Source organism: Homo sapiens, chromosome 14, assembly GCF_000001405.40.
Source record: "Homo sapiens chromosome 14, GRCh38.p14 Primary Assembly".
Taxonomy (NCBI): Eukaryota; Metazoa; Chordata; class Mammalia; order Primates; family Hominidae; genus Homo; species Homo sapiens.
Window position 1 is genome coordinate 21,152,012 of NC_000014.9, and position 16,589 is coordinate 21,168,600.

General features: G+C 42.1%; 1 protein-coding gene and 1 pseudogene across 1 annotated transcript; one reads left to right on the forward strand and one right to left on the reverse strand.

Moving 5' to 3' along the window:
- Window positions 1–2,853: 2,853 nt before the first annotated feature.
- OR5AU1 (olfactory receptor family 5 subfamily AU member 1) lies at window positions 2,854–4,052 on the reverse strand. The gene has a single exon (NM_001004731.3). It carries the CDS (start codon window positions 3,859–3,861, stop codon window positions 2,926–2,928), a length of 936 nt encoding a protein of 311 aa, NP_001004731.2. The 5' UTR covers window positions 3,862–4,052; the 3' UTR covers window positions 2,854–2,925.
- On the forward strand, window positions 10,411–11,796 carry SMARCE1P3 (SMARCE1 pseudogene 3; annotated as a pseudogene).

Below are 16,589 nucleotides of genomic sequence, written 5' to 3' on the forward strand. Positions count from 1 at the left end.
TCAGCTGTCCACATTTTGTTTGTGGTCAAATTGTGGTCTCTCTATTCTGTTCCATTGATCTATTTCTACAGCAATCACACTGTCTTGATTACTGTAGCCATATAATTCTTGAAATCAGGTAGTCAGACTTTCAACTTTGTTCTTTTTCAAAGTTGCGTTGGTTATTCTAAGTCTTTGCATTTCCATATGAATTTTAGAATCAATTTGTCAGCATCTATAAAAAGACTGGTGGGATTTTGATTGGGATAGAATTGAATCTCAAGATCAATTTGGGGAGTATTTACATCTTAACAATATTAAATTTGGTAACCAATAAACTTGGTATATATCTTCATTTATTTAGGTGTTCCATATCTTTAAACAGTATTTTGTTGTTTTAAATATACAGGCCTTTTATACTTTTGTCAGTTTTTTTTTCAGATAAGTCAATTGAGCATAATCCAAGGGATTATTTCTTGATTCTCAATTATGTTCCATTACCCTAAATACTCATCCTTACGCCACTACCCCCATTATTTTGGTAATTATAGCAGTATGGAAAGTTTTAAAATTGGGTCTGTATTCTTCCAACTTAGTCAATGTTTTTAAATTTTTATTTTTAAGACAGGATCTTGCCCTGTTGTCCAGGCTGGAGTCCAGTGGCACAATCACGGCTCACTGAGGCCTCGACTTCCCAGGCTCATGTGATCCTCCCACCTCAGCCTCCGGAGTAGCTGGGATTAAAGGCGTGCACCACCACAACCGGCTAATTTTTGTATTTTCAGTAGAGATGGGGTTTTTTCCATCTTGCCCAGGCTGGTCTCAAGTTCCTAGCCTCAAGCAATCCACCTGTCTTGGCCTCCCAAAGTTCTGGGATTACAAGCGTGAGCCACCAAGCCCAACCTCTCCTTCTTTTTAAAATTGTTTAGGTATTCTGGTTTATTTGTATTTGCATATACATCTTAGGACCAACTAGTCAAATTTTTAAGATACAGCCTCTGAGATTTTCCTAAGGATTATATTGAATCTATAGAACAGTTTGGGAAGTATTGCCATGTTAATGATATTGATTATTCCAATCCATGAATATTGAAGGTCTCTCCATTTATTTAGATCTTCTCTAACTTTTCTCAGGAACGTTTTATGATTTCCAGTATATGGAAATGACAACATTTTTGTGAAAGAATTGTTTTCTTAATTTCATTTTTGGATTGTTTCTTGCCAATATATAAAAATATAATTAATTTTTCTATATTTTTTATATGCTGTAATTTTACTGAACTTGGTTATTAGTTCCAGTGGAGTTTTTTAATAGATTACTTGGAACTTTCTATATTCAGGATCATGTTATCTACAAATAAACTCAATTTTTCTTCTCCCTTTCCAATCTAGATGCTTTGTTTGTTTTAATGTACTTGCTACAATCTTCAGAACAATTTTAAATAGAGATGGCAATAGCAGAAAACTTGCCTTGCTTCAAATCTTAAGGGGAAAGCATTATTTCACTAGTAAGTATAATGTTGGGTGTAGATTTTTCATAAATGCCCAGATATTAGGAAATTTTAAAAAAATCCACTCATGGATTAAAGAATAAATGATAATAAAAATTAGAATATACACAGAACTTAATACTAAAAACACCATATTTCAAAACATATGGGATGCAGGCTAAATAGAATTTGAAAAAATTTGTCTTAAATGCCTATATTTAAAAAGAAGACAGCCAGTGCGGTGGCTCATGCCTGTAATCCCTGCATTTTGGGAGGCCGAAGTGGGCAGATCACCTGAGGTCAGGAGTTCAAGACCAGCCTGACCAACATGGAGAAACCCCATCTCTACTAAAAATACAAAATTAGCCAGACATGGTGGCTCATACCTGTAGTCCCAGCTACTTGGGAGGCTGAGGCAGGAGAATCGCTTGAACCTGGGAGGCAGAGGTTGTGGTGAGCCGAGATCACACCATTGCACTCCAACCTGGGCAACAAGAGCAAAACTCTGCCTCAAAAAAAAAAAGAAGAAGAAGAAAAAGAAGAAGAATGACAGGCCAGCATGGTGGCTCATGCCTGTAAACCCAGCACTTCGGGAGGCCAAGGTGGGAGAATCACTTGAGCTCAAGAGTGCAAGACCAGCCTGGGCAACATAGGGAGACCCCATCTCTACAGAAATTAAAAATAGCCCTCTGAAGATGAGTCTTATTTAGGGCATTTGGCTTTGTAGATGAAACTCTGTCATAGAGAGGGTCTTCTCTCCTTGGTTGGCTGGTTGGTTAGCTGACAAGCATTACCTGAGCAGCAATGGAAAATATAAGAGCAATATCCACAATTTGGTCTTGGGGATCTTAAAAATTCTAAGTAATGAAACAGTCACTCACCAAATATATATTCATAGTTTTCCATTTGCTTAGCTCTGTGTTCTCCCTATCAGGAATTTAGCCAGGTGTGGTGGCATGCACCTGTAGTCCCAGCTACTCAGGAGGCTGAGGCAGGAGGATCGCTTGAGGCCAGGAGGTTGAGGCTGCAATGAGCAATGTTCATGCCACTGTGCTCCAGCCTCGGGGGTGGAGAGAGAGAGAGAGACAGAGAGAGAGAGAAAGGAAAGAAGGAAAGAAGGAAGGAAGGAAGGAAGAAAGGGAGGTGGGGAGGGAGGGAGGGAGGGTGGGAAAGGAAAGGAAATACACTAACTGGGAAAAATGAATGAAGCATCTCAACATGGATTACTAAATCTTGCCAACAGGTTGAATTATGCAACAAGCAGACACACCCTTCTCACTTCTTAGTCTCTAGGACACCATCATTTCTTCTGTGGCAGGTAGATGCAGAAGCACCTGCAGACCAGAGGGCATGCCCAATATTCACAGGGGTGGGCATGGGAATGTGCTCAGGGTGACACCACCTAAGGTAAAAGTTCCCTTGACTTTCTAAAGATATGTGGTAATGCATTGAGAAATCATTCCATTGTTTTCCTACCCCAAACCTTTATTAAAGCTTTCTTCACATCCTTGTTTCTCAAAGAGTACATGAGGGGGTTCAGCACTGGGATCACCACTGTGTAGATGACAGCAACTGTGCGGTCCTGGGTCAAGGAGTAGCTGGACCTGGGGCGCAGGTACATAAAAAGTGTTGTGCCAAAGAAGAGGCAGATGGCAGTGAGGTGGGATGCACAGGTGGAAAATGCCTTAAACCTGCCCTGGGCCGAGCTCATTTTCAGGATGGTGTTGAGAATTAAGAAGTAGGAGATCAAGATGGTGAGGGTGCAGCTCAAAAGGTTGAAACCAGCAAAAATGAAGAGCAGGATCTCACACAGTGAGGTGTCTACACAAGACAAGGACAGGATGGGTGGCCCATCACAGAAGAAGTGAGTGACGACATGAGCACCGCAGAATTTCAGACTAAAGATACAGCCAGTGTGGATAAGAGAATTGAGGAATCCTGCACTGTAGGAGCCCACAATCAGCGAGGCACAGACCTCAGGAGACATGATGGTTGAGTAGAGCAGGGGGTTACAAATAGCGGCATAGCGGTCATAGGCCATGGCAGCGATGAGATAGCACTCACTGGTGGCAAAACCCGCATAGAAGAACATCTGAGTCATGCAGCCAAAATAAGAGATCACTTTCCTCTTGGCCAAGAAGTTCACCAGGGTCTGGGGCACAACCGTGGAGGAGTAGCAGAAATCCAAGAAGGAGAGGCTCTTCAGGAGGGAGTACATGGGTGTGTGCAGGGTGGCACTCACATGGATCAGGAGGAACATGACCAGGTTCCCCAGCAGAGTGGCTGTGTACATGCCCAGGAACACCACGAAGAGCAGCCTCTGGAGCTGGGGGTCAGTGGTGAGGCCCAAGAGCTCAAACTCCATCCCTTGGCTCAGGTTTGCCCCTTTCATCCTTCTCCAGTGCTCTGCGATGGAGAAAGAAGGCACCACCATAAATGAGGTTGAACACCTGGGGCTCTGACTGGGTTTAATTCTGCCTAAGGACAGCCTTCTGAAGATGAGTCTTATTGAGGGCATTTGGCTTTGCAGATGAAACTCTGTCATAGAGAGGATCTTTTCTCCTTGGTTGGTTGGTTAGTTGGTAAGCATTACTTAAGCAGCAATGGAAAATATAAGAGAAATATCTACAATTGGTCTTGGGGATCTTAAAAATTCTAAGTAATGAAACAGTCACTCACCAAGTATATATTCATAGTTTTCCATTTGCTTAGCTCTGTGTTCTCCCTATCAGGAATTCAAGAGTGCCTGACCTTGGGAAGCTTATATTCTACAGACAGTATATTTTGTGTTTAAGCCACACATACTGTGGTATCAGACTGCTAAGGTTCAAAGTTAGGACTTTGCCATTAACTAGCTGTGTAATCTTGGGAATGTTACTTTACCTTTCTGAGTTTCCATTTTTCCATCTGTGAAATAGGGATAATAGCAACTGTCTATAAAGATTATTATAAAAATTCAATGAGTTATTTCATGCAGAGAAGTTGAACAAATTCCAGCACGTTGAGGAAGTTCAAAGAAGGTTAGCTATGAGCATGCTCACTAAGAAGATAGATCCAAAACCTAAATAAACATGATAAATGAGATGAACCCACAACAAAGCTTAGCAAGCAACCTACCACCTAACAGTATAGACAGAGACACACGTGCTATGCAAGCGTGACTAAACAGGCTTTCAGAGAGGCTGTAGATGGCTGATGGGTCAGCTATAAAACTGGCCCTGTGAAATCAGCACTACCCAGGCAATAATGTGAATACTTAAGGTAACAAGGGCTGAGAGTGTGGAGAGATGGAGGTAGTGTAAGACTGCATGTGGGAGCCTCCACCAACGGGAGAGTCTCCTCATCATCCATAAAGCTGCCCATCATTTCCAGAGAACAAAATCACCCTGGACTCAGAGGATGTTATGGCCAGTAGGAAAGGAACGAAGTGAGTGAGTCTTTGTGAAAATGCCTTTTCTATTTAGAGAGTGAACAAAGCTTGAATGCATCACCTAAACACCACACTCTCCTCTGTTCCATTGGCTCCTCTACCACGTGTCTTCCCAAGTTACCTCTGGGTGCTGAGCCAGTTAAGCACCCTGTGCTCTTGGGTGAAGACTCTCAGTTACAAAGACTTTGAAGCTAACAGATGTGGCTGAGTAGGACAAAAAGGGGCAAAAGTGAGCTGCCTCATCCTGCCCTGAGGAGAGTAAGCGAATAACACACCTGTGAAAAGTGTTGGGAGAATTTGGAGAGGAAAGAGCTGGATTGAGCAAGCAAACATTCTGACGAATTCCAATGACATAATTTCCAGAATCATCAAACTACCTGGGCAGGAGAAGATTCTGGACATATGTATAACTAAATTTAGTTGTCAGGCAGGGAATGAGGCACCATTTGTGTTGATAGAATACTGTGACTGGTGACAAGAAAAAGGCTTTTAGAAATGCCCAAAGAGGTAACATGCCCTAATAAAATTGAGACACAAAATATAAGTGCAAATTTGAACACAGAACATTAGCAACTGCTTTTAGAACTCATGGAATGCAATTCTGTGACTTATTTCATGTCACTTAGATGTAACATTCAGCTATCCTTACTCTAACAGCTGTCATTTTATAATAAATCTCACTATTGTAGAATGTGGGCAGTCCTAGATTTGGGTTGCAAATGTCTTTGGCGCCATTGGTGACAAAGGCCAATTCGACTTCAAGGCAAATTAGAGGAATTCAGATAAATGACTGTAAAACTCCCAGAGTGGAAATAACTTGCAGGCACTTTAAGAAAATAGAAAGGTGGTCATTAGGAGTGGAGTAGAATTTTCAGACCCAGCTTCCCATCTTCTTTCCTTGGTGGGCTGTTTCAATTTAGGTAATAGGTCTGCAAGTATCTCTCTGATTAAAAGAACAAAAGAAGAGAAAAATAGAAATATGTGCAATGCTCCAGACAGTATGGATGAGGCAGGAAGCATACACTGGGGTGGAGTGGTGGGATGGGATGGGGTAGGGTGGTGGGTAATACAGTGGATAGCTGATCAGAGCCTCCAGATTTATCATTTACTTTAAACCCACACTCTCTCTTCTGCTCCCCTCTCCTCTTTCATCTCTCTTCACCAATCTGCACTAAATTCAAAATTCTTAAGAATATAGAGTGACTCAAGGAAAGGATTATGGAGAAATTGGCATCTCTGACAGTTGTTCAAAGGATGCTGGAATTACCACTATTTCTATTGGCTATTGTTTGTACCTGTGAATGAAATGTAGGAGGAAAACTTAAAGATGATCTTATCATATGGGAGTGGATTATGGAGTGGAGTGCATAAGAGTGAGAGCAAATGCCTGGGGCCTGTGGATGAGGGAGGCATAGGAAAGAAGCTCTGTTTATACCCGACTCATTGCCCCCATCCCTGGGATAGCACAGTGAGAGCACATGTGGATATGAAGGGCAGGCAGCCAAGAAAAGCAGCCAGTGAGATTCCCTGAGCAACAGTGATCCCAAACAATGGTTCTTAAACAGTAAGCTGCCTTGCCCAAGGTTCACAGGAGAAGCTTGTTACATGTGCAGATTCCAGGTCCCAACCCACAGAAAATTTGATCCAATAGGTCTATAGCTTGGCCCCAAAGTCTGGTGATTCTGACTGAGACAGGAGGTCTCTGAACCTCACTCTGAGAAACACTAAACCATGGGGTACTTGCAGGAGCAAACAGATCTTCCTGAGCCACATATACGTATCTCTTCCTAGCTTGCTGGATTTGTCCGTGTCCTGGGAAATCAGCCTGTGGGTAGGATGGTCATCCTGGACATGCTCTTCCCTCCAGAAGACCTATCTGTGGTTAACCATTTCCGGAAATCTGGGTTACTACCTGATGATAATCTAACACCAGAGCATTTCTTCCTTCAAAGTAGCTTCAGATGTCCTTCAGCAAACCATGTAATTCCAGCAAAGCACCTGGCTTGATGTCAGAGCTGTTGCTGTAGGGGTCAGAACACAAGTCTTCCATGGAAACACAGCAAAGACAAAGCCAGACTCTGCATTCATAGACTGAGTCTGGGGATCAGAGCCTGTCACCGACTTTAGTCTTTCACGTTGTCAGAGGTGTGAGGCAGCCCCACTCCCTGTGAGCTCCTCACAGCTGATCTTGTGCTGGCAGGAGCAACCCCAGAGCCATCTTTTCCCCTGGCAGCCCAGCAGCTCACCACTGGGGAGGAGGATGTGTTCACTGATTAAAGTTTAAAAGGCAGGTGAGGAAGTGGGACTAATTAGCCCCATGAAGGCCCATTAAAGTGTTTGAAAAGTTACTAGCATCTCTGAGAGTCTACCCATGAGGAAACAAGTGGCTGGGAAACTGGGAATGAGGGGACTAGATCCACACAGATCCCTGCAAATATGCTGCTCATTCGCCCCAAAACACTACTCCACCTTCACTCTAAACTTAACTCTTACGTGATTATCTGTATTTCCTCGACACTGGAAAACCAGGTTTTTCTTTCTTCTATGCCAGTTACCCAATGTACATTTGTGCTGTAGATGAGAGCTGAGGACCTTCCTGCCCTTCAGGGTTATAGTAAAGTTAGAGGCATGTTATGTGGTTCCCAAATATTTGGGAATTTTCTAGGTATCTTTCTGTTATTGATTTCTGATTTAAAAGCATATGGTCAGAGAATACATTTTGTATGACTTGATACTTTTGAATTTATTGAGACTTACTTTAAGGCCCAGAATAGGACCTATCTTGGGAAATGTTCTATGTCCACTTGAAAGGAATATATATTCTGTTTTGTTGAGTGGAGTGTTCTATCTGTAACTGCCAATTAGGTCAAGTTGGTTGATATTGTTGTTTGAGTCTTTCTAATCTGCTGCTAATCTCATCCAGTGTATGTTTTCATATCAGACACTGCAGTTTTCATCTACAGAAGTTTGTTTTCAGTCTCTTTTTATATCTTCCTGTCTACATTTTTTGTACATATGGAATACCATTATAACTGTTTTAATGTGCAGTACAGCTTTGAAATCAGACAGCTTGTTGTCAAATCCCTGCTTAACAATTTGTTAGCTAGGTGACATCTAGAAAGTTTATTAACTTTGCTGATACTCATTTTTCTCACCTGTAAAATGTGGATAATAATAGTACCCACCTCATATACCTGTTGATAAGACTGAATTTAATAAGACAACATTTGTAATGATCCCCACAATAAATATTTCTTATTTATTACTGCTTAACAAAGCACCCTAAAACTCAACGTTTTAAGCCAATCACATATTTGCTCAAATATCTGTAATCTTGGCTGGGCTCAGCTGAGTGGTTAGACTGCTGATGTTACCTGAAGTTACTCATGCAGCTACAGTCATCTAGAGCCTCAATTGGGGCTGGATGGTTCGGTATGGCTTCACTCACATACTTCAGTGTGACGGGCTGGAATAGCTGGAGGCTGCCTAGACCTTTCCCTTCATAGTATCTTCAGCAGAATTATCAGACTTTTCATCACATGGTGGCTCAGGGCCCAAAGAGAGATACAGAAGCTTCCAGGCATCTTAAGGCTGGACTCTGGAACTCTTCAAGATTATAATAAAATCAGAGGCATCTTACATAGTTTCCAAATATTTGGGAATCCTCTAGGGATCTTTCTGTTATTCGTTTTTAATTTAATAGCATATGGTCAGAGAATACACTTTGTATGACTTGATACTTTTGAATTTATTGAGACTTATTTTAAGGCCCAGAATATGATCTGTCTTGGTGAATGTTCTATGTCCACTTGAATGTTCTATTTCAACTTGAAATGTTGAGTGGAATGTTTTATCTATAACTTTCCAATTAGGTCTGTAACAACCAATTAGGTCAAATTGGTGGATACTGTTGTTGAAGTCTACTGTATCCTTTCTAAATCTGCTGTTAATCTCATCCAGTGTATGTTTTCTTATCAGACATTGTAATTTTCGTCTACAGAAGTCACCAAGGTCACTTGGGCTGCATTCTACTGGTCAAAGAAAGTCAAAAGGCCAGCACAGATGCAAGGAGGAAAGAAAACAGACTCTATCTCTTGATGGTGGCAATGGCATGTACGCATAGCATTGTGAAGAACTGTTAGCCACAAGAGTGTCAGTCAGAAGAATTGCCATCTTTGCAAAAGATTTAGCATAATAGATCGCAGTCGATCATAGTAAATATTAGCTATCATTATTCTTGAGTTTATGTAAACTTGGAGTTGAAGATGTGGCCAAAAGGGCATGAATATAGGTAGGAACTGAACTTAAATTTAAAAAAAGCACAAACTGAGACAAGGAAAAAGATTTGTGTTTGGGGTTTTGTTTTGTTTTTTTTGTTTTTTTTTAGACAGAGTCTCACTCTGTCAGCCAGGCTGGAGGGCAGTGGCACAATCTTGGCTCACTGCAACCTCCACCTCCTTGGTTCAAGTGATTCTCCTGCCTCAGCCTCCTGAGTAGCTGGGATTACAAGCACGTGCCACCACGCCTGGCTAATTTTTGTATTTTCAGTAGAAACAGGGTTTCACCACGTTGGCCAGGCTGGTCTCGAACTCCTGACCTCAGGTAATCCACTCACCTCGGCCTCCCAAAGTGCTGGGATTACAGGAGTGAGCCACTGCGCCTGGCCTGTGTTTGAGTTTCTTAAGAAAGCCTGGAGGAGAAAAGAGAAAAAGAGGAGTGAAGGGAGAAAAATGATAAAGAGAAAGAGAAGAAAAGAGAGAAGTCAGAATATACTTCTGACTTCTGGGTGAAATTCAGAGAGCTATCCTAGGTGTCAGATAGCCAAAGAGAATTTTAAGTACAATAAAGCCTTAAAAGCAATTTGGCAATGTATGAATAAATTAAATATAAACCTCTCTTTTATCACCCACAAAAATCTTTGATAGATTCTCAACATGAATGCTTTGTCTAAGAGGTATGTGTGTGTAGCAAAGAAGGTATTAGATTTCTGTTAGATCTGCACAGTGCTGAATGAAGACATGATGGGCAAAAACAGAAACCAACAGATAGCCAGACCATGGTAAGTTTTCAAATTTGCGGAAATCTTATAATCGAATTTACCCATGGGAGACTTTAACTTCTGGCCAAGATGGAGTTGTGGGGATCAAATTTACCCCCCTGCCTAAAATCACATCAAAAATTAAAAAGAAAATAAGCTAAGATACATAAAACAGTTTTTAAGACATCAGACACGACACAATGAAAGACAATGACCCCAAGAAGTGGGAAACAAATGAGGTGAACACAACAGTTGCCCCAGCTTACTGCCTTTGGGGAGTTTCCAGACCACAGGGCAGAGAAGGTGGACTGAGAAGGATCCTGGAGGACACTCTGACTTGAGAAGGAACTGGGACTTTGGAAAGACCTATGGGCCAATGTTCCTATGACAGAGTACTAGACAGAGAAATTTCCATAGAGGGAGAACCCCAGAGGGCCGTCTCTCAAGTATTCATTAGAGTAGTGATGAGAGGACAAAGGGAAGCGAAGCCAGAGCTGCGGGCGCTTTTTCTGCCTGCAGGGTCTCAGATTCATTCTTAGGAACTGAGAATTTAATCTACTAAGATGTCAAAAAGACCATCTTATGCCTCACCTCCCAGCCCAGCTCCTGCAACACAAATGCCCAGCACATCAGGGTTTGTGGGATACAATCCATACAGTCATCTCACCTACAACAACTACAGGCTGGGAGGGAACCCGGGCACCAACAGCCGGGTCATGGCATCCTCTGGTATTATGATTCCAAAACCACCAAAACCATCAGATAAGCTGCTGATGCCCTACATGAGGTACAGCCGAAAGGTCTGGGACCAAGTCAAGGCTTCCAACCCTGACCTAAAGTTGTGGGAGATTGGCAAGATTATTTGATGGCACGTGGCAAGATCTCACTGATGAAGAAAAACAAGAATATTTAAACGAATACAAAGCAGAAAAGATAGAGTACAATGAATATATGAAGTCCTATCATAATTCTCCCATGTACCTTGCTTACATAAATGCAAAAAGTTGTGCAGAAGCTGCTTTAGAGAAAGAAAGTCGACAGAGACAGTCTTGCATAGAGAAAGGAGAACCTTACATGAGCATTCAGCGTGATGAAGATCCAGATGATTGTGATGATGGCATTTCAGTGAAGCAAGCATACAGCCACTGCCTGTTTCCAGAGAAACCACAGCCTCATCAATGAAATCCTTAGTGACAGTGTGGTGCCAGACATTCAGTCAGCTGTCACAACAGCTAGAATGCAGGTCCTCAAACAACAGGTCCAGTCCTTAATGGTTCATCAGCAAAAACTAGAAGCTGAACTTCTTCAAATAGAGGAACGATACCCGAAGACGAGGAAATTCCTGGAAAGCACAGAATCATTTAGCAATAACTTAAAAGTTTGTGTGGTCTGAAGGTAGAAGTGGATATGGAGAAAATTGCAGCTGAGATTGCACAGGCAGAGGAACAGACCCACAAAAGGCAGGAGGAAAGGGAGAGGGAGGTGGCAGACCAAGCTAAGCGCAGTCAGAGCGGCATCGTTCCTGAGCAAGAGCACGCGGCCAACTAAGGTGAGGAGAAGAAAGACGACGAGAACATTCCAATGGAGACAGGGGAGACACACCTTGAAGAAATGACAGAGAGCCAACAGAACAGTGAAGAAGGCACATCTACTCCTTAAGACAAGGAGAGTGGGCAGGAGGGGATTGACAGTATGGCAGAGGAAGGAACCAGTGATAGTAACACTGGCTCGGAGAGCAACAGCCCAACAGTGGAGGAGTCACCAACAGATCCCATACCAGAAGATGAGAAAAAAGGAGAAATGTTGCCTTGTTTTGTGTGTTCTAAATACTTTTTTAAATGAAAAAATTTTGGTGTAAAAAAAAAGAGTCGTGATGAGTACATCATATGGAGAAACTACCCAAGGACAGCGAAGGAACAACCTGAAAATACTGGAGGGAACACGGCCCAGTGCTTACAGAGGGCCAATTACAGTGCCGGTTCTACCAGCTGAACAGGAAAAGCTCATAGCTCATGGGGGTTTGGGTATTCCGGAAGTTATTTCCTCAGTATTGGGGAATAATTAGCCCTAGATTGACCCTGCTGTGGACCTGCCTAACAAATCACGAAAGCAAGACCAAGAGGCTCAGACTGTTGCCAAATAACTTTAACTGCATCCCAGAACCAAAGATACTTATAAGACTATAAAAATATCCACCACCCAACAAGATAAAATTCACAATCTCTAGTATCTGAAAAAAGATTATTTAGATTTGTAAAGAGGCAGGAAAACATGACCCATGAAAAGAAAAATAATCAACCAACTGAAACTGACCCAGACATGAAACAGATGTTAGAGTTAGTACAGAAGCACATTAAAACAGTTATTATAATTGTATTCCATATGTACAAAAAATATGTAAAGACAAGAAGATATAAAAAGAGACTGAAAACAAACTTCTGTAGATGAAAACTGCAGTGTCTGATATGAAAACATACACTGGATGAGATTAGCAGCAGATTAGAAAGACTCAAACAACAATATCAACCAACTTGACCTAATTGGCAGTTACAGATAGAACACTCCACTCAACAAAACAGAATATATATTCCTTTCAAGTGGACATAGAACATTCTCCAAGATAGGTCCTATTCTGGGCCTTAAAGTAAGTCTCAATAAATTCAAAAGTATCAAGTCATACAAAATGTATTCTCTGACCATATGCTTTTAAATCAGAAATCAATAACAGAAAGATACCTAGAAAATTCCCAAATATTTGGGAACCACATAACATGCCTCTAACTTTACTATAACCCTGAAGGGCAGGAAGGTCCTCAGCTCTCATCTACAGCACAAATGTACATTGGGTAACTGGCATAGAAGAAAGAAAAACCTGGTTTTCCAGTGTCGAGGAAATACAGATAATCACGTAAGAGTTAAGTTTAGAGTGAAGGTGGAGTAGTGTTTTGGGGCGAATGAGCAGCATATTTGCAGGGATCTGTGTGGATCTAGTCCCCTCATTCCCACTTTCCCAGCCACTTGTTTCCTCATGGGTAGACTCTCAGAGATGCTAGTAACTTTTCAAACACTTTAATGGGCCTTCATGGGGCTAATTAGTCCCACTTCCTCACCTGCCTTTTAAACTTTAATCAGTGAACACATCCTCCTCCCCAGTGGTGAGCTGCTGGGCTGCCGGGGGAAAAGATGGCTCTGGGGTGGCTCCTGCCAGCACAAGATCAGCTGTGAGGAGCTCACAGGGAGTGGGGCTGCCTCACACCTCTGACAACGTGAGAGACTAAAGTCAGTGACAGGCTCTGATCCCCAGACTCAGTCTGTGAATACAATGAGTCTGGCTTTGTCTTTGCTGTGTTTCTATGGAAGACTCGTGTTCTGACCCCCACAGCAACAGCTCTGACATCAAGCCAGGCGCTTTGCTGGAATTATATGGTTTGCTGAAGGACATCTGAAGCAACTTTGAAGGAAGAAATGCTCTGGTGTTAGATTATCATCAGGTGGTAACCCAGATTTCCGGAAATGGTTAACCACAGATAGGTCTTCTGGAGGGAAGAGCATGTCCAGGATGACCATCCTACCCACAGGCTGATTTCCCAGGACACGGACAAGTCCAGCAAGCTAGGAAGAGATATGTATAAATATGTGGCTCAGGAAGATCCGTCTGCTCCTACAAGTACCCCATGGTTTAGTGTTTCTCAGAGTGAGGTTCAGAGACCTCCTGTCTCAGTCAGAATCACCAGACTTTGGGGCCAAGCTATAGACCTATTGGATCAAATTTTCCGTGGGTTGGGACCTGGAATCTGCACATGTAACAAGCTTCTCCTGTGAACCTTGGGCAAGGCAGCTTACTGTTTAAGAACCATTGTTTGGGATCACTGTTGCTCAGGGAATCTCACTGGCTGCTTTTCTTGGCTGCCTGCCCTTCATATCCACATGTGCTCTCACTGTGCTATCCCAGGGAGGAGGGTATACATAGAGCTTCTTTCCTATGCCTCCCTCATCCACAGGCCCCAGGCATTTGTTCTCACAGATAGAAACCAAACTCCTTTTAAGAAGGGTCTCTATGATGAGGGTTATAGATATACAGTGAGAGACCCTTTTTAAAAGGAGTTTGGTCTCCAGCTGTGAGAGGAATGAAAAATGTTATTCCTTAAATACATAAAATAAGGATATCTTTTGACATCATGTCATCTAAAATACTAGACTTCAGTTGTCCAAGCAACTGGTTCCCTTTCTTCTTAGCTGTCACCTCAGAATTTTGCTTTTGTCTTCTAAGACAGTGATTCATAAAGTATGATCCAAGGGCAATAGCCATGAATTTGTTTTTTAAAAATAAAAGTTCTTTCTATGGTTTTTTTGGAACCAATTATACACCATTCTTTAGATTTTAACTTCTATGTAAATCTAAGAGTTTTTTGCTGGTAATTTTCTACGTGATTAATTGAGAAATACTAAAATTTTGTGAGGGTTATGGTTTTTTAAAAAGGCAGTATTTTTCAGATTTTTGAGAAGCCATATCTTTCCTCAAATAAAAGGAGAGGGAGTCCCTCTATGCAAAATAACAGAAATAGGAGCCTCTTTCAATTTTTTTTCTTCCTCATAGGTGGGACATGAAAAAGTCCCCGTGTAACTCATAATGACCCCTCGGAATAGTTTGAACAACTGCTCTAAAAAGTTTACTGTTTTGTATTTGAGGGGAATGACCAGCAGGTAACAAAAATAATAGCTATAGAAAAGTGAGAAAGATCAAGAAGATGAGTTTGAATTAAAATATTACTGACAGATCAAATTAACCCCTCTCCCAAAGTGAGGATGGGGAATTTCTGAGACTGGAAGAGATAGAAAAAAGAACAAAGTGAAACCTGAAGATAAAATTGTACTAGTCAAAAATTCTCTGTAGGGAAATAATACCAGGATAATCCATTAGTAATCAATGATGACCTATTGAAAAAAAATTGTAGTTTATATCTGCTGCAGCAGACTCCTCTGGAAGGAATAAAAATTTACCCTTATCACTAGTAAGTAATTGAGTAGGAGAGGAGTTGTGGAGACTACAAAGTCCGGGGAACTGTAGGACAGTAGTCCCCAATGTTTTTGGCACCAGGAACTGGTTTTGTGGAAGACAATTTTTCCATAGACTGGGGTAAAGGGAGGGAAGTGGCGGGATAGTTTCAGGATGAAACTGTTCCACCTCAGATCATCAGGCATTAATTAGATTCTCACAAGGTGCATGCAACCTAGATCCCTTGCATTGCACAGTTTGCAATAGTGTTCCAGCTCCTATGACAATCTAATGCCGCCACTGATCTGACAGAAGGCAGGGCTCGGGCAGTAATGGAGGTGATGTGGAATGGCTGTAAATACAGGTGAAGCTTTGCTCACTTACCCACCATTCACCTCCTGCTGTGTAGCCTGGTTCTACAATATCAGCCTGTGGCCCAGGGGTTGGGGACCGCCTTCTGTAGGACCTTAGGAGAAAATAGCTGCAGGTTCTCCTGGATAGAAACACCATGGCCTTGGGACCTAACGTATTGCAAAAGGGAGAGGAGATTCTAGCAGAGCAGCCAAACTTGAAAAAAACACTTGGATTTACTAAAAAGAGTAAGCAAACAACATGCTTGCCTCTGACAGAATAGCAACATGAGAAGAGGGTCTTGTGATATTAATTCTGAAATTTGTGGTTTAATACATGGTCTCTCTACTAAGTTCTGATATAGGTATATGCAATTATACATATAAAATAGGTAAAGGTATATCTTCCTAATTGAAGGATGAAATGTTCTACACTACCAAATTTTTAACAAGTCCATTTCAGATAGAAAAATATTAAAATCTTCTAATGACTTTGGATTATAAATTTCTCCCTCAAGTTCTGTTGTTTTTGCTTTTTGTATTTACAGGCTATGTTGTTAGGTGCAAAACGTTCATGATTGTATCATTTTGGTATATCATTAATTTAGATAAATAAATAATGTTATTTCTGATTTATTTTTTAAAAAAATAGCTTTGAAGCAGGGCTAGCCAAGATGGCTGACTAGAAGCAGCTAGTTTATGTTGCTCCCACTGGGAGAAAAGAAGGGGCAAGTAAATACAGCATCTTCAACTGAAACATCCAAGTACGTGCATTAGGACTCGTCAAGAAAACAACTCGACCCAGGGAGGATGGAGAAAAGCAAGGCAGGACAACTGTCCACCTGGGAACAACATGGAGCAAGGGGAGCCTCCCCAACCCAGGGAAGTGGTGAGTAAGTGAGTGAGCAATCCTGGGGACTCATGCTTCTCTCAAAGATCTTTGCAAACCTCAGGTCAGGAGATCCCCTTGTGAACTCACTGCACCAGGGCCTGTGGTCTGACACTCAGAGCTACGTGGAGTCCCAGCAGAGCAGCCACTCAGGCACACATGGAGCCCCAGGAGCTTTAGATATCTGGACTTCCCAAACAAAAGCAGCTGCAACTCTGGCCAAGAAGGCTAGACCCGGCCGGGTGCGGTGGCTCACGCCTGTAATCCCAGCACTTTGGGAGGCCAAGGCAGGCAGACCACCCGAAGTCAGGAGTTCGAGACCAGCCTGGCCAACATGGTGAAACCCCGTTTCACTAAAAATACAAAAATTAGCCGGGCGTAGTAGCAGGCACCTATAATCCCAGCTACTCGGGAGGC

Bases quoted from the DNA above. Each gene is read 5' to 3' on its own strand.
- OR5AU1 (NM_001004731.3), bottom strand. From the start codon at position 3,861: ATGAAAGGGGCAAACCTGAGCCAAGGGATGGAGTTTGAGCTCTTGGGC.